Below are 27,433 nucleotides of genomic sequence, written 5' to 3' on the forward strand. Positions count from 1 at the left end.
CACCAAGACATTCTATTGCCCAGGGACGAGCAGGAGACAGATGCCTTCCTCTTACCTCAACTGCAAAGAGGCCTTCCTCTTTTACTAATCCTCCTCAGCACAGACCCTTTTCGGGTGTCGGGCTGGGGGATGTCGGGCTGGGGGACAGTCAGGTCTTACCCTTCCCATGAGGCCATATCTCAGGCTATCACATGGGGAGAAATCTTGGACAATACCTGGCTTTCCTAGACAGAGGTCCCTGCGGCCTTCCGCAGTGTATTGTGTCCCTGGGTACTTGAGATTAGAGAATGGTGATGACTTTTAACAAGCATATTATCTTCAAGCACTTTTTTAACAAAGCATAGCCCTAAATCCATTGAACCTTGAGTCAACACAGCACATGTCTCTGTGAGCACAGGGTTGGGGCTAGGGTTACAGATTAACAGCATCTCAAGGCAGAAGAATTTTTCTTAGTACAGAACAAAATGGAATCTCTTATGTCTACTTCTTTCTACATAGACACAGTAACAGTCTGATCTCTCTTTTCCCCACAGAAGGGAAGGGAGGGAGGGAGGGAAAGAAAAAGAAACCTTAAGCATTTTTTACAGATGAGGGTTCTGCTCTCCCTTAGTTCAGCCATGCTGTGGGGGAAGGGGAAGGAGTGTGGTAAGATGGCAGAGGAGGAAATAAAATATGGATGGCTTCTGCCTTTTCAGTTCTTTTCCTCATTTCCTGGCTTACTGTCCCTGGTTTCTGACTGCTTTGTGGTGAAGCTTCAGAATTGGAGAGAAAAAGAGGCCAGAATTGGTGGCTTATGCCTATAATCCCAGCACTTTGGGAGGTCGAGGCAGGCAGATAACTTGAGGTCAGGTTATAAATGTTTAATACCTAAAATGATCAATACCTAAAAAAAAAATTTTTTTTTTGAGAGGGAGTCTCATTCTGTCACCCAGGCTGGAGTGCAGTGGCGCGATCTCGGCTCACTGCAACCTCTGCCTCCTGGGTTCAAGAGATTCTCCTGCCTCAGCCTCCCGAGTAGCTGGGATTACAGGTGAGCACCACCACGCCCAGCTAATTTTTGTATTTTTAGTAGAGATGGGGTTTCACCATGTTGGCCAGGCTGGTCTTGAACTCCTGACCTCAGGTGATCCACCTGCCTTGGCCTCTCAAAGTGCTGGGATTACAGGCGTGAGCCACCGCACCCGACCGATACTAAACTATTTTAAGAATCCTGAAAAATCAATAAATGAGAATGCAAAAAAAAATACAGCAAAGGCATCATTAAAAAGCACAGTAAACACGATTGGCCAATAAACGCATATGAACAGATGCTTGACTCACTTGTAATCAAGGTAATAATTTTTTTTTTTTTTGAAACCGGGTCTCACTCCAACACTCAGGCTGGAGTGCAGTGGCATGATCACAGCTTACTGCAGCCTTGACTTCCCAGACTCAAGTGATCCGTCCACCTCCGCCTCCCAAGTAGCTGAGACCACAGGCACATGCCACCGCACCCAACCAATTTTTGTATTTTCTGTAGAAATGGAGTTTTGCCATGTTGCCCAGCCTGGTCTCGTACTTCTGGGCTCAAGCAATCCTCCTGCCTTGGCCTTCCAAAGTGCTGGGATTATAGGTGTGAGCCACCGTGCCTGGCCCAGTGTAATAAATATTGAAACTTATAGCAGAGGTAGGGAAATATGAACACTGATATTCAATGATCAAAGGGATTCAAAACTGGAACAATGGTGGAGCCACAATTTGGCAATAAGCAGTGAAGCTGAAAGTGTATACAGCCTATAACGAACAATTTCATTTCTAGGTAATACCTTAGATTCTTGACTCTTTAAGGAAATTAAAAAATACACAAAATGATATTCAATATAGCATCTTTATTACCACAGAAACTCATTTATGTCCTTAATCATTGTTTAATATAATATATAAGCATGTTTAACACAAACATATCAAGGATCGGGCTGGAATCTTTTCCATTCTATAGAAAAGCACTAACCATCCATTAAAGCAGGTAGCTACTTTCAGAGCATGATATGAGCTGCAAAAAATTGCCCTGACTTATGCCGCCCCCAACACAACCACTCACCATATCTAAAATTACACCCTTGAAGACATTCATTGTGGTTATGGTAGCATCTAACAAAGCTGTTCCTATTCCAGATATTCGGACTGAGAATTCCACAATAAATTTGAGATACACTCAGTTAAATAAAAATGTCTTTACTAAATCTTTGGCAAACTGATCATGTATACTTTGAATTCCTCAAAAGTAGATTTTTATTTTATTTTATTTGAGACTGAGTTTCACTCTTGTTGCCCAGGTTGGAGTGCAATGGCAAAATCTCAGCTCACTGCAATCTCCATTTCCTGGGTTCAAGCAATTCTCCTGCCTCAGCCTCCCAAGTAGCTGGGATTACAGGTGCAAGCCACCACGCCCAGCTAATTTTGTATTTTTAGTAGAGACAGGGTTTCACCATGTTGGCCAGGCTGGTCTCAAACTCCTGACCTCAAGTGATCTGCTCGCCTTGGCCTCCCAAAATGTTGGGATTACAGGCGTGAGCCACCGTGCCTGGCCAAAAGTAGATGTTTTATGTTTTGCTTCATTTGCCTATTTTCCCAAGAAATCTTTTTTTCAAATACCATCGAGAATTAATATTCCTTGAAGCAAACTTCTGGAGAATGTTGAATTTAGGGGTCAAACACAGGCTTTCTGGAGGTATTTGGTGCTTGGGAAAAGAAACACTGACCTATTAGCAAAGATAGATTTTGTAATAAATTCTAAATAAACTTTATTTAGAATTGTGAAAAATAGAATCTTCATAATGAAGGTGGTCTAGAATTTGCTTTCAGAAACTATCTTCATCTAATTTTTATTAGGATTATTTTACCTTGCAGAATTAATTGGTAAAATCTTTAGGATTATCTATTCCTTAAAGTTTTTATAAGTATCAGATTTTTTAAACAGGGAGTTCACACACACACACACACACACACATTTTTTGTTAATCTATTTGGGTTATACGGTGAGTTAATTGTAAAACATATTCCTTTTGGGGGAAAAATGCAATCCTACATTTTTACTTGTACTGGAATGAATATACACGTTTGTGCATGTGTGCATGTATAGTTTTACCATATTATGTTTATTATTTTTGAGACAGGTTCTCACTCTGTCACCCAGGCTGGAGTGCAGTGGCGTGATCTTGGTTCACCGCAACCTCTGCCTCCTGGGTTCAAGCAATTCTCCTGCCTCAGGCTCCCCAGTAGCTTAGATTACAGGTGCCCGCCACCATGACAGGCTAATTTTTGTATTTTTAGTAGAGATGGGGTTTTGCTATGTTGGTCAGGCTGGTCTCGAACTCCTGACTTCAAGTGATCCACCCACCTCGGCCTCCCAAAGTGCTGGGGTTACAGGTGTGAGCCACTGTGCCCGGCCTAGTTTTGCCTTATAATTTTAAAAATCTGCTTGATATAATCTAGAGTTGTGTCTCTTTTATCATCATTAATACTCTAAATGTATTATCTTTCATTTTCTCTTCCTTGATTATAACTGCCAAAATCTAATCACTATTAACATTGAATCAAGTCTAATATTCTCCATTCTCTTAATTTCTACTTTCTACTGTTACTTGGCTGTTCCTTTTTTTTTTTTTTTTTTTTTGACAGACTCTTGCTCTGTTACCCAGGCTGGAGTGCAGTGGCGCGATCTCAACTCACCACAAACTCCGCCTCCTGGATTCAAGTGATTCTCCTGCCTTAGCCTCCCAAGTAGCTGGGATTACAGGCATGCACCACCATGCCTGGCTAATTTTGTATCTTTAATAGAGATGGGGTTTCTCAGTGTTGGTCAGGCTGGTCTCAAAATCCCGACCTCAGGTGATCCACCTGCCATGGCCTCCCAAAGTGCTGGGATTACAGGCATGAGCCACCGCACCTGGCCACTTGGCTGTTCTTTACTTGGGTTGGTTTTATTTTGTTGTTTCCTTTTTCTTGACGGAAATACTTATTCATTCCCTCAACACATTCATCTGTGTGACAGGCCTGGTGTTGCTGCTGTGGGTAAGTGAAGAAGATGAAGACTGTATCCACAAATAAGATTTCCTTACCACATTACAGGGCATTAATTTGTCACTGAACAGAACTTTGATTATATCTGACAAGGTTAGATGTGCAGGCATCTCACTGTCATTCATTTCTACATAGTCTATAATTTTGGTTTTGATTTTAAACATTTTATTATTGAAATTTCAAACACATACAAAAGTAGAAATATTAGAACAATAAGTCTCCATGAACAAAACACTCCACTTAAATTATCAACATGTTGCCAATTTAGTTTCCAGCTCTCTTTGCCAATTATTTCTTTTGCTAGAATATTTTAATCCAAATGTGTCTATCTTCATTTCATAGTATGTATCTCATATCATACGATCTTTTATTTTTTATAATCACACTGACATAATCCCTAACCAAATTAATATATGTAAATATCATTTAATATTTAGTCCATGTCCACACTTCCCTCACTGTCTCCAAAATGGCTTTTTATGTTTTGTTCAAACCAGGTCCAAGTAATGCCAACATACTGAATTTAGTTGATATGTCTCTTTAAGTCTCTTTTAATCTGTTAATGGTTGCCCTTCCCCTTGTATTTTCATGCTACCTGTTAGTTGAAGAAATCAGGTAATTTGCTCTGTAGAATTTCACACATTCTGGATCTGTTTGGCTTCTTCCTTGTGGTGCCCTTTATAGCCAGCCCTCCATATGTGCAGATTCAACCAATCTCAAATAGAAAATACTCAAAAAAAAACAATAAAAATAAAATACAATAAAAATAATGCAAATTGAAAAATACAGTATAACAACTATTTACATAGTATTTACATTGTGATAGGTATAAGTGATCTAAAGATAATTTAAAGTATACAGGAAGATGTGAGTAGGTAATATGCAAATACATACTATGCCATTTTATACAAGGGACTTGAGCATCCTCAGATTTTACCATCAGTGGAGGATCCTGGAACCAATTCCCCATGGATACCAAGGGATGACCATATACTGTTCATCTAGTCCCTGTCTGCTTTCAGTTCATTATTCCAGCAATAAGGCTTTGTAGATGGTGGTGTGGACTTCCTATTGCATTACGTCAGGAAGTGTGTTGTCTGATAGACCCATTTTTATTAAGGTTAAAACAGATCAAAGGGTTCAGAGGTGGCCAGTTTGATAGATCCACCATAAAAATCTCGCTATAAAATATTTCACCTATTAGTTGTAGTACCCATTGAAGATCATGTTTTCTGGACCCATTATTCCATTAAGGTCTAGAAAATGGTGATTTTTCTAATCCTCTAATTCCTTCTAGATTTATTAGACTTCTTCAAAAAAGAAAAACCCATTCAAAAAACAAATTTTTTTTTTGAGACAGGGTCTCACTCTGTCACCCAGGCTGGAGTGCAGTGGCACGATCTCAGCTCACTGCAAACTCTGCCTCTTGGGTTCAAGTGATCCTCCCACCTCAGCCTGGGACTACAGGTGTGTGCCACCATGCCTGGCTAAATTTTGTATTTTTAGTACAGACAGGGTTTCACCATGTTAACCAGGTTGGTCTCAAACTCCTGGCCTCAAGTGATCCACCCACCTTGTCCTCCCAAAGTGCTGGGATTACAGGTGTGACCCCTGTGCCAGGCCAAATTCATTTGAATTTGATGAACTTCTGGTGACCCTGAAATTTGGTTCACATGGGAAAAGGAAACTAAATGACAATTTTTCCTCTGATTTATTGATTTCAAGAATAATGAGTTGGGCTGGGTGTGGTGGCTCATACCTGTAACCCCAGCACCTTTGGAGGCCAAGGAGGGAGGATCACTTGAGCCCAGAAGTTCAAGACCAGCCTGGGCAACATAGTGAGACCCTTTCTCTAAAAAAAAAAAAAAAATTTAGGTGGAAGAATCACTTGAGCCCAGGAGGAACAGGGTACAGTGAACTGTGCTTGTACCACTGCACTCCAGCCTGGGGGACAAAGTGACACCCTGTCTCAAAAAAATTATACATTGGTGCTCTAGCATCTTTCATAGGTTACCAAATTATGCAGCCACAATCAAGTAAACTATCAAATTATTGGTGGGATCACATCAAAAACTCAACTTGAAACAACTCCTACTGGTTGAAGATATGGCATTTTGAGCATCCAAAAGTATACTGACTTATAGAATGATGTTTTGTTTCTTTCCCACAGGAGTTTTATACACACACATAAATATACACAACAATATTAAATTCCTAGGTGGTTAATTTCTTTTAAGCCACATTTTTGATAGTTTCTAATTAATTTTAAACTGTGGTCAGACAACAGGGATTGTAAGCCTTTTGCTTTCTGGAATTATGGGAAAATCATTTCCTATTTCCCTCTAATTCTTCAACAGCTGTATTACTAGTGACCTCACATTCATGAAATTCATTTTTGGCATGAAATTTCTAATGCAGCTCAAGTGCTGAAGAACTTCCTACATTCACTACAATCTAAATTTTACCTAGAATAAATTATGTTTAATAATTTCTGAGAGGTGACAGGAGGCATTTCTACATTTATTATGTCTACAGATCTTCCTTTTACGTGAATTCACTAATACTAATGACAATAATAACAATTACAGATAATATTTACAGAATACATGCTATATGACTGTGATTCCTCCAAGTATTAACTACTTACTCCTTGCAACAATCCTATTCCACAGTGTGGCAGGCTGACTCTAAACAGGCCCCCCAGTGGTCCTGTCTCCAGGACTTATTCACACTCTTGTATCATCCCGTTCTCTTGAGTGTGGACTATCCTAGTAACTTACTTCTACCAGTAGAAGGTGAGGGAATGTTACTTCCATGATTAGATTACACAAGATGGTAACTTCCATCTTGCTAGCAGACTGTCCTCCCTTTTGGCTTGCATGCCTTGATGAAGCAAGCAGCCATGTTGATGAGGCTATTGTGGCCAGGAGCTGCAGTCAGCGTTCAGCCAACAGCCAGCTAGAAACTGAGAATCTCAATGCAACAGGCCTCACGGAAATACATTGGGTAACAACTATGTTAGTCTGGATGTGGATCCTTCCCCAGTTGAGCCTTCAGATGAGACCTCAGCCCTGGCTGAAATCTGTAGCCTTGCAAGAGACCCTGAAGCAGAGGACCCAACTAAGTCATGCCTATACTCCTGATCCAAATTATAAGATATAATTATATGTTATTTTATGCTACTAAGTCTGTGGTAATTTATTACGCAGCAATAAATAACTAATACATATAAGTACTATTATTACCATTTTACAAGTCAGCAAAATGAGGCACAGAAGCTTAGTATCTTGTCCAATAAATCAAACTGGTAATCAAGTGGAGAAAGGGAGATAATGACAGATAAGGCTAAAGATTTTCCTACATTCATTACATTATTCTCTCATAGGAATTTGCTGAAGATAAACCATGTTTAAATGGTGTTGGAAGGCTTTTAAATCAACATATTCTTTCTCTAATATAAAATTTATTATGCTTGGAATTGAGCATGAAACACATTTTCTCAAAAATGAATTTTCTGATGTTCTGTAACATCATATACATTTGAAGGCTTTCTTCTATTAAATTCCATTATGAATCTTCTGATGCTGAGTAAGGTGTGAATGCTGTCTAAAGGCCTTCTTACACTCCTTACACTTGTAGGGCTTCTCACCAGTATGAATTCTCTGGTGTTGAGTAAGAAATGAATAAAGTCTAAAAGCCTTACCACATTCCTTACATTCATAAGGTTTCTCACCAGTGTGAATACTCTGATGTTGGGTAAGTTGTGAGAGCAGTCTAAAAGGTTTTCTACATTCCTTACATTCATAAGGTTTCTCACCAGTGTGAATACTTTGATGCTGAGTAAGTTGTGAGAGCAGTCTAAAGGCCTTTCCACACTCTTCACATTCATAGGGTCTCTCACCAATATGAATGCTCTGGTGTGAAATAAGCTGTGAGTAACTACTAAAGGTCTTCCAACATTCCATACATTCATAGGGTTTCTCACGAGTATGTATTCTCTGATGGCGAACTAGTTGTTGTCTTAATCTAAAAGTCTTCCCACATTCCTTACATTCGTAGGGTTTCTCACCAGTATGAATACTCTGATGAACAGTAAGTTGTTGGCATATTCTAAAAGCCTTTCCACACTCCTTACATTCATAGGGTTTCTCACCAAAATGAATTTTCTGATGTACTCTAAGGTCTGGACCACATACGAAGGCTTTCCCACATTCCTTACATTCATAGAGCTTTTCAGCAGTATGAAGTCTCTGATGGCGTGTAAGGTGTGTACACTGTCTAAAGGTCTTTCCACAGTCCTTACATTCATAGGGTTTCTCACCAGTGTGAATTCTCTGATGTCGAGCCAGTTGCTGATGTACTCTAAAGGCCTTTCCACATTCCTTACATTCATAGGGTTTTTCACCCGTATGAAGTCTCTGATGTTGAGTAAGTTCTTGGAGCACTGTAAAGGCCTTCCCACACTCCTTACATTCATAGGGTTTCTCACCGGTGTGAAGTTTGTGATGTCGAATAAGATGTGCACGCTGTCTAAAGGCCTGCCCACATTCCTTACACTTATAAGGTTTCTCACCAGTATGAATTCTCAGGTGTTGACTAAGTGTTGAGCGACGAATAAAGGTCTTCCTACACTCCTTACACTCATACACCTTTTCTCCATTATGAACGATCTGATACTCAGTAAGAAAATTGTGCCTTTTGTAAGTGGTCATTTTTTCAGAGGTAATTTTCACTTGCCCAAAATATCCCTCTTGTTGTTCCTTTTCCCCCTCAATCTTGCTTTTGCATTCCCAATCATTCCTAAAAATGGAACCCTGAAGGCTATAGCTTTTAATTCTTTCCATTATATCCCACTGAAATGAATATATTTCATAAATGTCCTTTTCTGGAGATAAAGTATTGGTCCTGTATCTGGACTCCAAATCTGAAAGAAAACAAGAAAGCAAATACATACTGTTTTCCTGTTCCAGAAAGAAAAAACAAACAAACAAAAAAACCACTTCTATAGAGAAAAGGCACCTAAAATAATGCCTGTTACAAATTGAATGGATTAGACAGATCTCAAACATAGACATTTCTGCCACAATCTTATATATGTGTACCTAAAAAACCTTATCTTCTACAAAAGTACACACTAAAAATTACTGTGTTCAGAAGAAAAATAGGCCCGGAGCAGGACCACTTAATTTTTTTTTTTTCTTTGGAGATGGAGTCTCGCTCTGTTGCCCAGGCTGGAGTGCAGTAGTGCGATCCCGGCTCACTGAAAGCTCCGCCTCCCGGGTTCACGCCATTCTCCTGCCTCAGCCTCCCAAGTAGCTGGGACTACCGGCACCTGCCACCACGCCCGGCTAATTTTTTTTTGTATTTTTTAGTAGGGACGGGGTTTCACCGTGTTAGCCAGGATGGTATCGATCTCCTGACCTCGTGATCCACCCACCTCGGCCTCCCAAAGTGCTGGGATTACAGGAGTGAGCCACTGCGCCCGGCGAGGACCACTTCATTCTATGCCTTTTTTTTTTTTTTTTTTTTTTTGAGACACAGTCTTGCTCTGTCACCCAGGCTGGAGTGCAGTGGCACAATCTCGGCTCACTGCAACCTCTGCCTCCTGGGTTCAAGCAATTCTCCTGCCTCAGCCCTCCTAGTAGCTGGGATTACAGGCACACACCCCCAAGCCCGGCTAATATTTTTGTGTGTATTTTTAGTAGAGACAGGGTTTCACCATGTTGGCCAGACTGGTCTCGAACTCCTGACCTCAGGTGATCCGCCCGCCTCAGCCTTCCAAAGTGCTGGGATTACAGGTGTGAGCCACCATGCCCAGCCAATTCTATGCATCTTTAATCAGTAGAACACTAACAAATAAAATAGTTGACATCTAAAGGGATAAACCAAAAGACACCTCAGCACTTCATGTGTATTAAAATGCACAAAAATAAAGAGACAATGCTAGACTTCAGGTCCTGAGACACTGTACATGAAAATAAAGCCCAGAGCCAGTGAGGACATCATTAAGGTGGGAGTAAGGTAAAGTGCAGCCTGTCTTTAGATAAGAGGCCATGCAAGGTTGATGGTATATTCCTCTGGGGAGGGAGACCTGGGTGCAGACATTTATTATTAATTTTCTTAAAACGGGTGAAAGGGCTCCTGATAATAAAGCATCATGTAGAAGGCCTTTGTCTTTCCTACTGAACATTATAAATATACCTCCACTAAGCTAGCTCCACTGGACTAGAAAAATTACTCATAAGCCAATCATCTACATTATACACAATTCTTTTGCCACTATTCTGCTAATGTGTACCATGGGACAGATTGCACTCTCATCATTTTGAAAAAGGGAAACACAGCAAATAAAGAGTCCAGGAGTGCAGGCAGGGCTGGTGATTAGGAAAGCAAGTCAAATCAGTGAAGCCCTGTTTTAAGTGTGGATAAGAATCACCTAGAGATTTGTTTAAACTATGCAGAGGTGTTTTTAACTGACTGAAACCATCTATAGGACAAAGTCCTGGGCAAGTAATTGTTTTGTTCTTGTTTATATTCTTCAAGAAATTATTGGGATGCTGATCAATATTTGAGTCTCTCTGTTTAAATGTTTTCAATGCTATCTCTTTACCATTATAATAAAATATAAATACCTGAGCATAAATAATAAAGCTGCTGCTTGTCAACAAATATCTTCTCCCATTTGTTCTCTCTGTTCATAGCATACTGGCCTCTTTCAACGCACAAAATGCCCCACAACTGTTCCAAATAAATAGGACTCTTCACAGGCTGCTCCTTCTTTGAGGAATCCTCTGACACTGCATGGTTGGCTGGTTTTCATTCTCAGCCTCAAATCAAAATCACTTCTTCACAAAGGCTAGTCCTGCTGGCCCTATTTAAGTCTATGCACTTTACGCTTGTCTTACTCCATTTTCTGTTGCTTATAATGAAGTATCTGAAAATGGATAATTTATAAAGAAAAGGAATGTATTATTATTATTTCTACTCTACTCTGACGGATTAAGGAGTTTATTTCTTAACAATTATGGGGGCTGAGAACTCCAAAGTTGAGGGACTGCATCTGGTGAGAGCCTTCTTGCTGGTGACAACCCTGCAGAGTCCCAAGGCAGCGCACAGACCATCAATGGGTAATGGGGGCTGAGTGTGCTAGCTCAGGTGTCTCTTTTGCTTCTTACGAAGCCATGTGTCCCACTCCCATAATAACTCATTAATCCATTAAGCCATGAAAGCCCTTGTGACCCATTCACCCCTCATAGATCCCACCCATTGGGGATTAAGTTTCAACATGAGTTTTGGAGGAGACAAACATTCAAACCACACTCTCTTAGCACACTCTTTCTCTTTTCTTTGTTTTTTTGAGATGGAGTTTCTTGTTGCCCAGGCTGGAGTGCAGTGGCACAATCTCAGCTCACTGCAACCTCTGCCTCCTGGGTTCAAGTAATTCTCCTGCCTCAACCTCCCCAGTAGCTGGGATTACAGGCACCCACCACCAGGCTCGGCTAATTTTTCTGTATTTTTAGTAGAGACGGGGTTTCACCATGTTGGCCAGGCTGGTCTCGAACTCCTGACCTCAGATGATCTGCCCGCCTCGGCCTCCCAAAGTGCTGAGATTACAGTGTGAGACACTGCACCTGGCCATGCACATTCTTTTTCATATTTATAACACTTTCTCCAATTTTTGAATCATATGTTTATTAATTTTCTCATATTATTCTGTTAGTTTAGTTAGTCTGTTAGTTAAGTGTTATCCTTGAACTACCCCCAGGGCAGAAACAATCTCTATTATCACCATTAATTAGCAAATCCCAAATACATAATAGATATTACCAGTTTAATTCTCATAATTATATAATCATTAATTAATAGGTATATCTGCCTCTAATCTTTATACCAGAGGTCCCCAACCCCCAGGCCACAGACCAGTCCATGGTCTGTTGGGAACCGGGCTGCACAGCAGAAGGTGAGCAGCAGGTGAGCGAGCATGACCGCCTGAGCTCGGCCTCCTGTCAGATCAGCGGTGACTAGATTCTCATAGGAGCGTGAACCTTATTGTGAACTGTGTATGCGAGGGATCTAGGTTGCACACTCCTTATGAGAATCTACTGCCTGATTATCTGAGGTGGAACAGTTTCATCCCAAAACCACGTACCATTTTCTCCCGCCCCAGTCCATGGAAACATTGTCTTCCACAAAACTGGTCCCTGGTGTCAAAAAGGTAGGGACTGCTACTTTATACCATATTATAATGATTTACTTATCTCTGCTAGAATTTATACTATGACTTATCAATGCTACACTTACTCAAACTTTTGTTGGCCGGGCACTGTGGTTCACACCTATAATCCCAGCACTTTGGGAGGCCGAGGGGGCAGATCACCTGAGGTCGGGAGTTCGAGAACAGCCTGACCCACTTGGAGAGAAACCCCATCTCTACTAAAAATACAAAATTAGCTGAGCGTTTTGGCAAATGCCTGTAATCTTAGCTACTCGGGAGGCTGAGGCAGGAAAATTGCTTGAATCTGGGAGGCGGAGGTTGGGGTGAGCCAAGATTGTGCCATTGCACTCCAGCGTGAGCAACAAGAGTGAAACTCCATCTCAAACAAAACAAAACTTTTGTTCCTTCATATCCTCCCCATGTGTGGTCCTATCCATTCCCATGTAGCCAACGCAACTAAAGTATTTTTTTTCAATCATGCTAACATTGAAAGGCTTATGAAATCCTGAGCAAAAGGTCATGGTAAATGTCAAGTACAGCAGAATGACTATCAAAAATGGAAGGGCATCTGGGGTCACCTGAATGCAACAGAGTAAAAATAAAGGCTATGTTGGATGTGGGCTTGAAGATCATGATCCAGATGGCGTACTTTCATGAAGAAAATCGAAAATGCTGAATGAAGTAAGCAAAGACATGGGTTGAGATGGTATAGGAAAGGAGGAGAATTTTTTTCTGTGACTACAGTATAAATGTGTAAAACTGGTGAAATGACCCAAAGAATAGTTTGTGATCACTGCAAGACAAAATAGGAAAAAACAAAATCATGAAACCAAAAGACATCTTCACTTCAGATTTTAAAACTCTTTCCTAAATATAGAACAGTAATATTGAAAAATACATTATAGAGAACCTATGAAATATAGCTACAGATCTCAGAAGAAATTTTATAGATACATTTAAATTCTTAGAGCAATAGAAATGAAGGAAAATATATGAGTATCCCACACAAAAGTTAGAAAAAGAACAACAAAGTATACTGAGGAACAAAGAATGAAGAAATAGATTAAAATGAAAGCAGAATTTCATTAATTAGATAACAGAAATGAAAGACATATAAAAAATCCAGGTTGGCCAGGCACGATGACTCATGCCTGTAAACCCAGCACTTTGGGAGGCTGAGGCTGGAGGATTGCTTGAGCCCAGGAGTTCAAGACCAGTCTGGGCAACATGGCAAAACCCTATCTCTACAAAAAATTAGCCAGGCATGGTGGTGCTTGCTTATAGTCCCAGCTACTCGAAAGACTGAGGGAAAGAGGATCGTCTGAGCCCGGGAGGCGGGCATTGCAATGAGCCATGATTATGCCACTGCCTGGGTGACAGAGCGACAACCTGTCTCAAAACAAACAAAAAACCCAGGTTGTTTGGAAAACAAAAACAAAAACAAAACAAAAAAACAAAAAACAAAAACAAAATCAGTGGAACATAACCATTAGCTAAGATAATAAGAGAAAAAGGAAAGCATTCAAACAAAATAAAAAATGGCCACTAGCTATTCAGTGACAACTCCCCATAGAGCTCTCACTTTTTTTTTTTGAGACAGAGTCTTGCTCTGTCGCCAGGCTGGAGTGTAGTGTGGCGCAGTCTCAGCTCACTGCAACCTCTGCCTCCCGGGTTCAAGTGATCCTCCTGCCTCAGCCTCCTGAGTAGGTGGGACTACAGGTGTTTCTACCATGCCCAGCTAATTTTTTGTATTTTTAGTGGAAACGGGGTTTCACCATGTTGGCCAGGATGGTCTTGATCTATTGACCTCGTGATCCACCTGCCTCAGCCTCCCAAAGTGCTGGGATTACAGGCGTAAGCCACTGCGCCCAGCCGCTCTCACATTTTTTGTACATCTTGTTGGCAGAAGCACTACCTACCTTTGTTCTGGGATATCTTTTCAAGAATGTTTCTATACTATAACAAACAGCCTTGCAAGGTAGAGATAACGTCTCTGTCTGGATCAATAGGCAGGTTCGCTTGCTTGTTCAGGATAATAAAGGTAATGTCTCCTTCCAAGCTAAGGCTACGTACACTTATTGCCCACGATGAATGATTTGGGTTCTTCAAGCTCAGTGTTCCTTTTCTATAAGGCAGCTCACTGCATGCTCAGGAACTATCTAGACCCATCCTTATCAGCCTCATGTGACTTGCAGGCAAGGAGGAACTGCTGGCTGTGCTGAGAGCAATCAAATCCTTTGTCTTTGACTGAGAGCATGTGTTTCCTGCCAGCATCCATGACACTACGGCAAGCTAACTTGTCAGCTTGCAAGTAGGGTGAAGTTGTAGAAATAATATAGTTCTTGACACATGTAAATAACTAACAAAACAGAATATTTTGAAAATTATAAGGGACTACTATGACAACCAAGGCTAATTACTAACAAAGTATAGAAAAAGTATTCAAGGCTGGGCGCAATGGCTCACGTCTGTAATCCCAGCACTTTGGGAGGCCGAGGAGGGTGGATTGCTTGAGGTCAGGAGTTCGAGACCAGCCTGGCCAATATGGTGAAACCTCATCTCTACAAAAACTACAAAAATTAGCCAGGTGTGCTGGAAGGCGCCTATAGTCCCAGTTACTCGGGAGGCTGGGGCAGGAAATGACTTGAACCCAGGAGGCAGAGGTTGCAATGAGCCGAGATCACGCCACTGCACTATAGCCTGGGTGACAGAGTGAGGCTCCATCTCAAAAAAAACAAAGAAAAGAAAGAAAAAGAAAAAGTAATCAAAGACCCACTCCAAAAATTATTTTGAAGATTATCAAAACTTGAGAAAGCACTCAATTATATTTAAAGTGGCCCAGAACATTTTATAAAGCCTAATACTCCAAGTTATCTTTGAGTATAAAAATGAAATCAGGCTGTGCGCAGTGGCTCACGCCTGTCAATCCAGCTCTTTGGGAGGCCAAGGCAGGCAGATCACCTGAGGTCGGGAGTTTGAGACCAGCCTGGCCAACATGGTGAAACTGTCATACTAAAAACACAAAAATTAGCTGGGTGTGGTGGCACGTGCCTGTAACCCTAGCTACTCGGGAGGCTGAGGCAGGAGAACCTCTTGAACCCGGGAGGTGGAGGTTGAGGTGAGCCAATATCATGCCACTGCACTCCAGCCTGGGCAACAGAGTGAGAAAAAAAAAAGTCTTCTTTCTCTTTGCCCACACATATTCCCTTAGAAAAGTCAATTTCTAATGGCTTTCTTTGGTCACCAGATAGTCACATAGAATAGGCAAAGCCTACAGAACAGAAAAATAAGTAATTGGGTGCCATGTAATAATACTACAGGGATTTGAATTAAGGATTGACATTTCATTTTAAATGAAATTGTGTAACTGGCTTTTAAGTACATTTTAAAAGGATTGGGTAGGTACTTGGGTCGATACTTCTGTTTGAGGTGTTCAAGCCACAAATATACAAATATATAGCTATCACTGATAAACCTGGGAAGCTGACCCCTTTAGGCTAAGTTGGCCTTCATGAGATCAGAATGCCCAGCACCTGTGTATCAGGGTAACACCAGCTGACTCCTTGATATAGAGGTTCTGGAGGATGTCTTACCAGGACAGTCAGGGAAGTCAGGATTTTGTTTGTTTGTTTGGAGATGAAGTCTCACTCTGTCACCCAGGCTGGAGTGCAGTGGCACAATCTTGGCTCACTGCAACCTCCGCCTCCTGGATTCAAGCGATTCTCCTGCCTCAGCCTCCCAAGTAGCTGGGATTACAGGTATGCACCACCATGCCCTGCTAATTTTTGTATTTTTGGTAGAGACGGTTTCATCATGTTTAGCCAGGCTGGTCTTGAACTCCAGAGTCAGGATTTGACCCCGCCTGTGCTGCAACCTTCTGGGACCTCCTGTAGGAAGTGCTATACCTGCTTTGGAAGAAGCAGCTCTCAGAGGAAATAACACCAATGGGTTCCTCCCCAAGAGATCCCAGAAACCAGAGGTGGAACTTAAGCTGGCTTGTATTTTTTTTATCAATGCTCTGACTCTGTATCTCAGTGGAAAATTCTATTCAACAAGAAGAGGAGGGCTGGGCACAGTGGCTCACACCTGTAATCCCAGCACTTTGGGAGGCCGAGGTGGGCAGATCGCCTGAGGTCAGGAGTTCGAGACCAGCCTGGCCAACGTGGTGAAACCCCATCTCTACTAAAAATACAAAAAATTAGCCGGGTGTAGTGCCACATGCCTGTAATTCCAGCTACTTGGGAAGCTGAGGCAGGAGAATCACTTGAACCCAGGAGAGGCGGAGGTTTCAGTGAGCCGAGATTATGCCATTGCATTCCAGCCTGGGCTATAAGAGGGGAACTCTGTCTCAAAAAAAAAAACAAAAAAAAAAAAACAAAAAAAAAAAAACAGGAAGAACATAATTTCTCCTCTAGAACTAAAAAATATTTGTATTTTATCAGAATAATATACCAGTTTAATTAATAATTCCCTTAACGCCCTTTGAAAATGTGAATTTACAGGCTGGGCACAGTGGCTCACGCCTGTAATCCCAGCACTCTGGGAGGCTGAGGTGGGTAGATCACCTGAGCTCAGGAGTTTGAGCCCAGCCTGGGCAACATGGCAAAACCCCATCTCTACTAAACATACAAAAAATTAGCCAGGCGTGGTGGTGTGCACCTATAATCCCAGCTACTTAGGAGGCTGAGGCAGGAGTATCACTTGAACCTCAGGAGGCAGAGGCCACAGTGAGCCAAGATGGCACCACTGCACTCCAGCCTGGGTCGCAGAGCAAGACTCTGTCTCAAAACAAAAAAAAAATATATATATATATAATATATATATAATATATACTATGTATATTATCTATAAATATTAAAATGAAAATGAAAAATCTAATGGACAGCTTTAACAACAGCTTAGACTTAGCACAAGAGAAGACTAGTGAATAGAGACATGGATTTGAAGAAGATTTCAAGGTTGAAAGGAATAAAAAAGAACAATAGATAGGCTGGGCGTGGTGGCTCACACCTGTAATCCCAACACTTTAGGAGGCCAAGGCGGGCAGACTGCTTTGAACTCAAACTCCACAAGTTTGAGACCAGCATGGCCAGCATGGTGAAACCCTGTCTCTACTAAAAATACACACACAAAAAAGTAGCTGGGTGTGGTGGTGCTTGAGCCCGGGAAGTGGAGTCTGCAGTGAGCTGAGATTGTGCCACTGCACCCCAGCCTGGAAAACAGAGCCACACTCTGTCTCAAAAAAACAAAACAAACAAAAAAAAAAAACAGAAAAGAACATAAAAGATACATGGGACAATGTTAAAGTGTCTAACATATGTGTAACTCACACAGAGAAAAGAACAAAAATGAGAAACAAACACTATCTGAAGATATAGTAACCAGAATTTTCCCAAACTGACAAAAGACATCAAACCCAAGATTTAAAAAAATTCCTAGCTGAGCCTAGTGACTCAGGCCTGTAATCTCAACAATTTGGGAAGCCAAGGAGGGAAAACTACTTGAGGCTAGGAGTTCAAGACCATCCTGGGCAACATAGGGAGACCCCCATCTCTAAAAAAATACAAAAGTTCACTGGGTGTGGTGGTGTGCACCTGTGGTCCAAGCTACTTGGGAGGCTGAGGTGGGAGGATCACTTGAGCCCAGGAGGGTGAGGCTGCCGTGAGCTGAAATCATGCCACTGCACTCCAACCTGGGCATCCAAGCAAGATCCTGTCTTTAAAAAACCAAAAAAAAACAAAAAACAGCTTCCTAAATACTTCAAGCAGATGACAACACAATATCCACCACACTACAAAACTACACCACAATATAATTGGGATTTTTACATTTCACTGCAATATAAAATTAGGCACACCACAGTAATCTGTTAAAAAAAAATCCAAAAGCAGCTAACGGGAAAAAATACCTCTAAAACAATATCTCTGAAGGAGTTACAATATAAGTGACAAACTACTACTCAATGGAAATAATGAAAGCCAGAAGACAAGGAGGGGATATTTGCTAAGAGAAAATAACTGCCAACTCAGAATTCTATTCTCCACAAAAATAAAGACAAAATTTTGTACCCTTTAAAAATTAAGACGTAATAAAGATATTTTCTAATAAAACCTAAGATAATTTATTGCCAGTGGACACAATAAAATAAATACTAAGTAAGTTCTTTGGGTACACAGAAAATGGTTCCAGATAAAAGCAATGCAATGCAGAAAATAATAAGGAGCACTGTAAAAGGTAAATGTGTGGGCAAATGTAAAAAAAATTCACTACTTATTACAATAAGAAATTAATGCCCTGTGGGGATTAAAATGTGGAATTAAGATACATGACAACAGAGCTGGGTACAGTGGCTCAGGCCTGTAATCCCAGCACTTTGGGAGGCTGAGGTGGGCGGATCACCTGGGATCAGGAGTTCAAGACCAGCCTGGCCAACATGGCGAAACCCCGTCTCTACTAAAAACTACAAAAATTAGCCGGCATGGTGGTGCATGCCTGTAGTCCCAGCTACTCTAGAGGCCGAGGTGGGAGAATTGCTTGAACCCAGGAGGCAGAGGTTGCAGTGAGCCAGGATCCCACCACTGCACTCCAGCCTAGGCAACAGAGCAAGACTGCATATCACAAAAAGAAAAAAAAAGGCATATGACAACAAATGCACAAAAAACTGAGGACACATAAAAGGAATTAAAATACTATTAAGGGTTGCGTACAGTGGCTTACGCCTGTAATCACAGTACTTTGGGAGGCTGAGACAGGAGGATCATCTGAGACCAAGAGTTTGAGACCAGCCTGGCCAACACAGTGAGACCCCCATCTCTAAAATAAAACAAATTAGCCGGGCATGGTGGTGTGTACCCGTAGTCCTACCTACCCAAGAGGCTGAAGTAGGAGAATTGCTTGAGCCCAGGAGTTTGAGGTTGCAGTGAGCTATGATCACACCACTGCACTCCAGCCTGGGTGATGCAGTGAGACCTTGTCTCTAAAAATAAATGAATACATTTTTTAAAGATTCTATTAAGATCCGGCCGGGTGTGGTGGCTCACGCCTGTAATCCCAGCACTTTGGGAGGCCGAGGCGGGTGGATCACAAGGTCAGGATATCGAGACCATCCTGGCTAACATGGTGAAACCCCGTCTCTACTAAAAATACAAAAAAATTAGCGGGGCGTGGTGGTGAGCGCCTGTAGTCCCAGCTACTCGGGAGGCTGAGGCAGGAGAACGGCGTGAACTCGGGAGGCAGAGCTTGCAGCGAGCCGAGATCGTGCCACTGCACTCCATTCTGGGCAACGGAGCCAGACTCTGTCTCAAAAAAAAAAAAATTCTATTAAGATCCCTACAATTTTGAACAAGATATAAAGAAGCTAATTTCAGATTCAATGCAATAAGTAAATAATGTACTTGTTATTGTCTAAGGCAACCACAAGAAGAAAAATAAATGTATGTATAATGATCATGTTATAAAAGGAAAAACTAGAATAAAAATGCTTGATTAATCCAAAAAAGGCAGGAGAATGAAAAAAGTAAGAACATATTAAGCAAACAGAAAAACACTGGGAAGACAGCAGATTTAAACCCAAATATGTAAGAAAATTAATGAAATGTAGATGCATAAAATACATCAATTAATAGACAAAAATGACTGGGCACAGTGGCTCACACCTGTAATACCAGCACTTCGGGAGGCCAAGGTGGGAGAATCCCTTGAGGCCAGGAGTTTTAGAGCAACCTGGCAACACAGTGAGACACTGTCTCTACAAAAAATGCTTAAAAATTAGCCATGTGGGCTGGGCGCGGTGGCTCACACCTGTAATCCCAACACTTTGGGAGGCCGAGGCGGGCGGATCACAAGGCCAGGAGATCGAGACCATCATGGCTAACACGGTGAAACCCCGTCTCTACTAAAAATATAAAAAATTAGCCGGGCGTGGTGGCAGGCGCCTGTAGTCCCAGCTACTTGGGAGGCTGAGGCAGAAGAATGGCGTGAACCCGGGAGGCGGAGCTTGCAGTGAGCCGAGATCGCGCCACTGCACTCCAGCCCGGGCGACAGAGCGAGACTCTGTCTCAAAAAAAAAAAAAAAATTAGCCATGTGTGGTGGTGCGCACCTGTAGTCCCAACTACTCAGGAGGCTGAGGTGGGAGGATCACTTGAGCCCAGGAAGTTGAGCCATGTTCATGTCACTGCCCTCCAGCCTGAGGCAACAGAGCAAGACCCTATCTCGAAGAAAAAAAAAAGATCTTCCTTACCCACACTGGGGATGGGATGCTGTTTCCATTACTGGAGGCAGCCTAGTGCAGGCTGTTGCAGTACAAGCACAGTAAGGGAAGTATTCAGAGAAGAGCAGCCCAGCATGTACCAGGCAAACCTATCAGGAATCTAACATTTTCTCTCAGCCTTCCACTAGTACCATTCTCAGCAAAACCACTATCATCTTCAATGTGGACAAATGAAATAGCCTCCTAGTGGGTCTTCAAACTATCCATCATGCCCTTATTCAATCTATTCTCTGTAGAGTGGTAATTATTTAAAAATCAGCTCATGTAGGCCGGGTGTGGTGGCTCACGCCTGTAATTCCAGCACTTTGGGAGGCCGAGGCAGGCAGATCACAAGGTCAGGCGTTCGAGACCAGCCTGACCAACACACTGAAACCCCATGTCTACTAAAAATACAAAAATTAGCTGAGCGTGGTAGCGTGTGCCTGTAATCCCAGCTACTCGGGAGGCTGAGGCAGGACAATCGCTTGAACCAGGAGGCGGAGGTTGCAGTGAGCCGAGATTGCGCCACTACACTCCAGTCTGGGTGACAGAGTGAGACTCCATCTCAAAAAAAAAAAAAAAAAATCAGCTCATGTTACTCCCCTGCTCAAAAATCTCCAGCAGCTTTCTACTACACTTAAAATAAAAAAAAGTCAGATGCAGCTGAGTGCAGTGGCTCACACCTGTAATCCCAGCACTTTGGGAGACTGAGGTGGGAGGATCGCTTGAGCCTAGGAGTTCAAGACCAGCCTGGGCAACATAGCAAAACTCCCGTCTCTACAAAAAATACAAAAATTTTCCAGCGGTGGTGGCATGCGCCTGTAGTCCCAGCTACTTGGGAGGCTGAGGTGGGACGATCACTTGAACCCAGGAGTTCAAGGCTGCAGTGAGTCATGATCACACCACTGCACTCCAGCCTGGGCAACAGAACAAGACCCTGTCTCAAAAAAAAAAAAAAAAAGCCGGGCACAGTGGCTCATATCTGTAATCCCAACACTTTGGGAGGCCGAGGCAGGTAGATTACAAGGTCAGGAGTTCAAGACCAGCCTGGCCAACATGGTGAAACCTTGTCTCTACTAAAAATACAAAAATTAGCCAAGCACGGTGGTGGGCACCTGTAATCCCAGCTACTTAGGAGGCTGAGACAGGAGTATCGCCTGAACCTGGGAGGTGGAGATTGCAGTGAGCTGAGATGGTGCAACTGCACTCCAGGCTGGGCGACAGAGAGAGATTCCATCTCAAAAAAAAAAAAAAAAAGTCAAATGCCTTCTCCTATGATATACAAACCATTACATGATCTCGCTCTTGCCTAACATTATCTTGTTTCTACACCTTTCACTTACCTTTTGAATAAGCATCTTAATCATCTTGGGCTTCTTGCAGTTCCTCAAAAATACAAAGCTCCCCTCAGCCCACCCAAAGCCTTTGTATTTGCTGTTCTCTGCCAGGAATGCCGTTGCTTTAGATATTCATATGGCCTGGGCTCTTTTTTCATGTCACTATTCAAGTATCACCTCCTCAAAATGTCCTGACCACCCTATTTAAAACATCCCTATCTCTACTTGCCAACTTCCATTCTCACCCAGGCTGGAATGCAGCAGCGCGATCTCGGCTCACTGCAACCTCCACCTCCCAGGTTCAAGCGATACTTCTGCCTTAGCCTCCTGAGTAGCTGGGACTACAGGCATGTGCCACCACGCCCAGCTAATTTTCGTATTTTCAGTAGAGACAGGTTTCACCATGTTGGCCAGGCTGGTCTCGAACTCCTGGCCTCAAGTGATCCTCCCACCTCAGCCTCTCAAAGTGCTGGGATTACAGGCACGAAGCCACTGCGCCTGGCCCTTCTTACTTTTCTTAATACTTGTCCCTACCTAATATTATGTATTGATGTACTTGTTTACTTCATGTCCTTACTCCTATTAAGATGTAAGCAACATGATTGCTGGGACCCATGATTCTCATTCACATCTGCTCCACTGGTGTCCAGCACAACACCTAGTTCCAACTAGGCACTCAAGTATTTGCCAAATAAATAAAGGAATATATTTCTAGCCAATGAAAGACATATCAACCTAATCATAATAGAAGCTAGAAAGAAACTGGGTCCTAAATATGGACTGAACTCTGTTCCCCTAAAATTTGAATGTTGAGCCCTAACTAACTGTATGTGGAGATGGGGCTTTTAGGAGGTAATTAAGGTTAAAGGAGGCCTAGAGGAGGGGTCCTAATCCACTAGAATTACTGGCCTTGTAAGAAGAAGAAGAGGGCCAGGTGCAGTGGCTCGCGCCTGTAATCCCAGCACCTTGGGAGGCAGAGGTATGAGGATCACTTGAGCCCAGGAGTTCAAGAACAGCCTAGGGAATACAGGGAGATCTCTGTCTCTATAAATTTTTTTTTTTTTAAATAGCTAAGTGTGGAGGCATGTGCCAGTAAACCCAGCTACTCAGGAGGCTGAGACGGGAGGATTGCTTGGGCCCAGGAGTTCAAGACTGCAGTGAGCTGTGATGGCACCATTGCACTCCAGCCTGGGCAACACAGTGAAGCCCTGTCTCAAAAAAAAAAAGAAGAAAAAAAAAGGAAGAGAGTGACCTCTTTCTCTCTCTGTGTCATATGAGGACACAACAAGAAGGCAGCTGCCTGCAAGCCAGGAAGAGAGACTTCACCAGAACCTGGCACCCTGATTTTGGACTTCCAGCATCTAGAATTGTGAGAAAATACATATCTGGTGTTTAAGCCACCCAGACTATGGTATTCTGTTACAGCAGCTTAAGATGATACAGATTTAAATAGAGATGAAACTGTAGTCACCGATCAAAAAAAAGAGTAGCCCCTCTCTTTGTCAAATCTTTTCCCCATTCCCCTCAACAGCATCCTTAAAATTTTTTTTATTTTAAAATAATTATAGATCCATGGGAAGTTGCACAAAATGTACAGAAAAGTCCTGTGTAGACTTCACCCAGCCCCTCCCAGTGTTAACATCTTAGGTAAGTATAGCACAATATTCAAAACAAGAAATTAATGGGGCTGGGCGCAGTAGCTCATGCCTCTAATCCTAGCACTTTGGGAGGCTGAGGTGGATGGATCACCTGAGGTCAGGAGTTCGAAACCAGACTGGCCAACATGGTAAAACTCCCTCTCTACTAAAAATACAAAATTAGGTGGTGGCGCATGCCTATAATCTCAGCTACTTGAGAGGCTGAGGTAGGAGAATCGCATAAACCTGGGAGGCAGAGGTTGCAGTGAGCCGAGATCCCGCCACTGCACTCCAGCGTGGGTGACAGAGCGAGACTGTCTCAAAAAAAAAAAAAAGAAAGAAATTAATGTTGGTATATTCCATAGAGCTTACTTAGACTTCACCAGTTCTATGTGCACTCATGTGTGTTTATTTGCATAGCTCTATGCAATTTTATCACAGGTAGCCTCGCAAAACCACCACCAAAATCAAGATACTCACCTGTACCATGACTGCAAGATTTCCTCATGTTACCCCTTTCTAACCCGAACCATCCTCTACGCCCTACATCCCTACCCTTGGAAACCACTAATTTGTTTTTCCATCTCTATGTGATTTTGCAAATATTACATAAATAAAGTCATGTAGTGCATAACCATTTGTGATTGATTTTGTCACTCAGCATAATTTCCTTGAAATTCACCCAAGTTGTTGCATGTATCAAGAGTTTATTGCTTACTGTTGCTCAGTTTATTCATGGTATTGGTGTGCCTTTCAATCAGTTTTAATTGGGCTACTTATCATTTAGCACTGAGCTGTGTATATACTAGATACTGGTCCCTTGTCAGATATGTTTTACCACTATTACTCTCCCAGTCTGTGACTCACCCATTCATCTGCTTATTGGTATATTCTGATGAGACAAAGTTTTCAATTTGGATAAAGTCTAATGTCTTAATTTTTTATTTATTTATTTTGAGACAGAGTCCCACTCTGTCACCCAGGCTGGAGTGCAGCGGTGTGATCTTGGCTCACTGGAACCTCCACCTCCTGGGTTCAAGCAATTGTCCTGCCTCAGCCTCCTGAGTAGCTGGGATTACAGGCGCATGCCAAGACGCCCAGCTAATTTTTGTATTTTCAGTAGAGATCAGGTTTCGCCATGTTGGCCAGGCTGGTCTCAAACTCCCAATATCAGGCGATCTGCCCGCCTTGGCCTCCCAAAGTGCTAGGATTACAGATGTAAGCCACTGCGCCCGGTCTGATTTTTTTATTTTTATGGTTATTGTTTTCACTCAAGAAACCTTTGCCTACTCCCAAGTCATAAGTTGGGACACTCATCACTGTCCTGTTTCCCTCTAAAAACTTTATGATTGTAGCTTTTATATGTAGGTCTAAAAACCATCTCAAATTAATTTTGGTATGAGGTAAAAGCTGAGAGGTTTGTTTATTTGTTTCCCCAGTTATTCCAGTACTATTTGTTGAAAAGCCTTTCTTCTCCCCATTGGAATGCTTTGGCATCTTTGTCAAACAATAAATGACCCTTTAGTGCGTGTGTGGCAGGGTATGTTTCTAGGACCTCTGTTGTGTTTTGTTCGGTAATCTTTGCCAATAACATACTGTCTTGATCACTGTAGTTTTAATAAATCCTGAAGTTTTTGTTTTTTGTTTTTTTTTTTGAGATAAGAGTCTCACTCTGTCACCCAGGGTGGAGTGCAGTGGTGTGATCTCGGCTCACTGCAACCTCCGCTTCCCAGGTTCAAGAGATTCTCATGCCTCACCCTCCCCAGTAGCTGGGATTACAGGCTTGCACCACCATGCCTGGCTAATTTTTGTATTTTTAGTAGAGATAGGGTTTTACCATGTTGGCCAGGCTGGTCTTGAACTCCTGACCTCAGGTGATCCACCTGCCTCGGCCTTCCAAAGTACAGGGATTCCAGGCATGAGCCACCATGCCCGGCTCTGATCTATCTATCTATCTATCTATCTATCTATCTATCTATCTATCTATCATCTATCTATCTATCTATCTATCTATTTTATTTTTTGAGATGGAGTCTTGCTCTATCGTCTGAGCTGGAGTGCAGTGGTGTGATCTCGGCTCACTGCAAACTCCGCCTCCCGGGTTCAACCAATTCTCCCACCTCAGCCTCCTGACTAGCTGGGATTACAGGCGTGCGCCACTACATCCAGCTAATGTTTGTATTTTTAGTAGAGACGGGGTTTCACCATGTTGGCCAGGCTGGTCTCGAACTCCTGACCTCAACTGATCTGCCTGCCTTGGCCTCCCAAAGTGCTAGGATTATATGTGTGAGCCACTGCACCCGGCCTGATTTTTTAATATTAACCTTATATCCCATGACCTTATTGTGATTTTTCAATTATTACTTCGAATAGTTGTTGTCTTGATTCCTTAGGACTTTCTATGTACACAATCATGTCATCTCCAAATACAGACTTATGTCTTCCTTTTTGATCTTTATGTCTCATTTCTTTTTCTTTTGATAATGGATTTTTATAGTTTATAATGTATTTTTTAAATAGGTGCCCCTTACCAGATTGAGGAAGTTCCCTTCAATTTCTAGTTTGCTGAGAGCTTTTTATCATGAATGGATGTTGGATTTTGTCATATGCTATTTTTACATCTATGAAGATGATTGCTATGGTTTGAATGTTTGTTGCCTCCAAAACTCATGTTGAAAATTAATTCCTAATGGCAATATTGAGAGGTGGGGTTTTTAAGAGGTGACTGGGTCATGAGGGCTCTGCTCTCATGAATGGATGAACCTATTCATGGATTGGTGAGTTAATCGATTAATGGGTTATCACAGGATTGGGACTGATGACTTTATAAGAAGAAGAGAGGCCTCAACTAGCACATTTGCATGTTCAGCCCACTTGCCATTTGATGCCCTGCAAAGCCTCGGAATTCAGCAGAGTCCCCACCAGCAAGAAGGCCCTCAATAGACACAGCCCTTTGAGGCTGGACTTCTCAACCTCCAAAACGGTAAGAAATAAATTCCTTTTCCTTGTAAATTACTGAATTTCAAGGTATTCTGTTATAAACAACAGAAAGTGAACTAAGACAATGATCATACGGTCTTTCATTTTTTCTGTTAATATGGTGAATTAACAGGTAGAAAGAAATCCTAATCATCATTTTTGTATATCATTATATTTGATTTGTTAATATTTTATTAAAATTTTTGTATCTATGTATGGAAAAGATGGGTTTATGCTTTTTTTGTAATGTCTTTCTTGGGTTATGGTATGAGTTATGTTGGCCTCATAAAATGCATTCCTTTTCTGAAGGAGTTTGTATAATACTGCTGCTATTTCTTCCTTAGATGTTTAATAGAATTCACCAGTGAAACCATCTGGGGCTGGCATTTTCTTTGTGGAAGGTTTCTGATAATGAATTCAATTACTTTAGCAGCATAAGGGTATTCAATTTCTTTTTTATCTTGTGTCAGTTCCGGTAAGTTGTACTTTTCCAGAAATTTTAAAATTTCATTTAAGTTATCAAATTTATTGGCATAAAGTAATTCATGGCATTCTCTTATTATTCTTATTATTCTTCTTTTTTGGAGTCGGGGTAGAGTCTCACTCTGTCACTCAGGCTGGAGTGCAGTGGCGTGATCTTGGCTCACTGCAACCTCCGCCTCCCGGGTTCAAGTGACTCTTGTGTCTCAGCCTCCTGAGTAGCTGGGACTACAGGTGCCCGCCACTATGCCCAGCTAATTTTCGTATTTTTAGTAGAGACAGTGTTTTGCTGCGTTGGCCAGACTGGTTTGGAACCCCTGACCTCAAGTGACCAGCCTGCCTCGGCCTCCCAAAACGCTGGGATTACCAGAGTGAGCCACCACGCCCAGCCTCTTATTATTCTTTTAACGGCTATAGGATCTAAAGTGAAAATCCCTCTTTCATTCCTGATGTTAGTAATTTATGTTCTTTAAA

The 27,433-nt window shown here is 42.1% G+C and overlaps 1 protein-coding gene across 2 annotated transcripts in view, besides 1 other annotated feature; it reads right to left on the bottom strand.

The window, feature by feature from the left end:
- Positions 1 to 1,848: 1,848 nt before the first annotated feature.
- Positions 1,849 to 27,433, bottom strand: part of ZFP14 (ZFP14 zinc finger protein) — a 44,749-nt gene continuing 19,164 nt past the window's right edge. For both annotated transcript variants that reach the window (NM_020917.3, NM_001297619.2), the window contains exon 5: positions 1,849 to 8,986. In NM_020917.3, the coding sequence (NP_065968.1) occupies positions 7,620 to 8,986 (1,367 nt within the window). In that variant the 3' untranslated portion in view covers positions 1,849 to 7,619. The remainder of the gene's footprint in view (positions 8,987 to 27,433) is intronic.
- Positions 14,390 to 14,590: a silencer, noted in NCBI's record as "peak3460 fragment used in MPRA reporter construct". NCBI's record gives its function as "represses an SCP1 promoter by STARR-seq MPRAs in K562 erythroleukemia cells {active_cell/tissue: K562}" and the evidence as "EXISTENCE:reporter gene assay evidence [ECO:0000049][PMID:32103011]".

This window comes from Homo sapiens, chromosome 19, assembly GCF_000001405.40.
Source record: "Homo sapiens chromosome 19, GRCh38.p14 Primary Assembly".
NCBI classification, from domain to species: domain Eukaryota; kingdom Metazoa; phylum Chordata; class Mammalia; order Primates; family Hominidae; genus Homo; species Homo sapiens.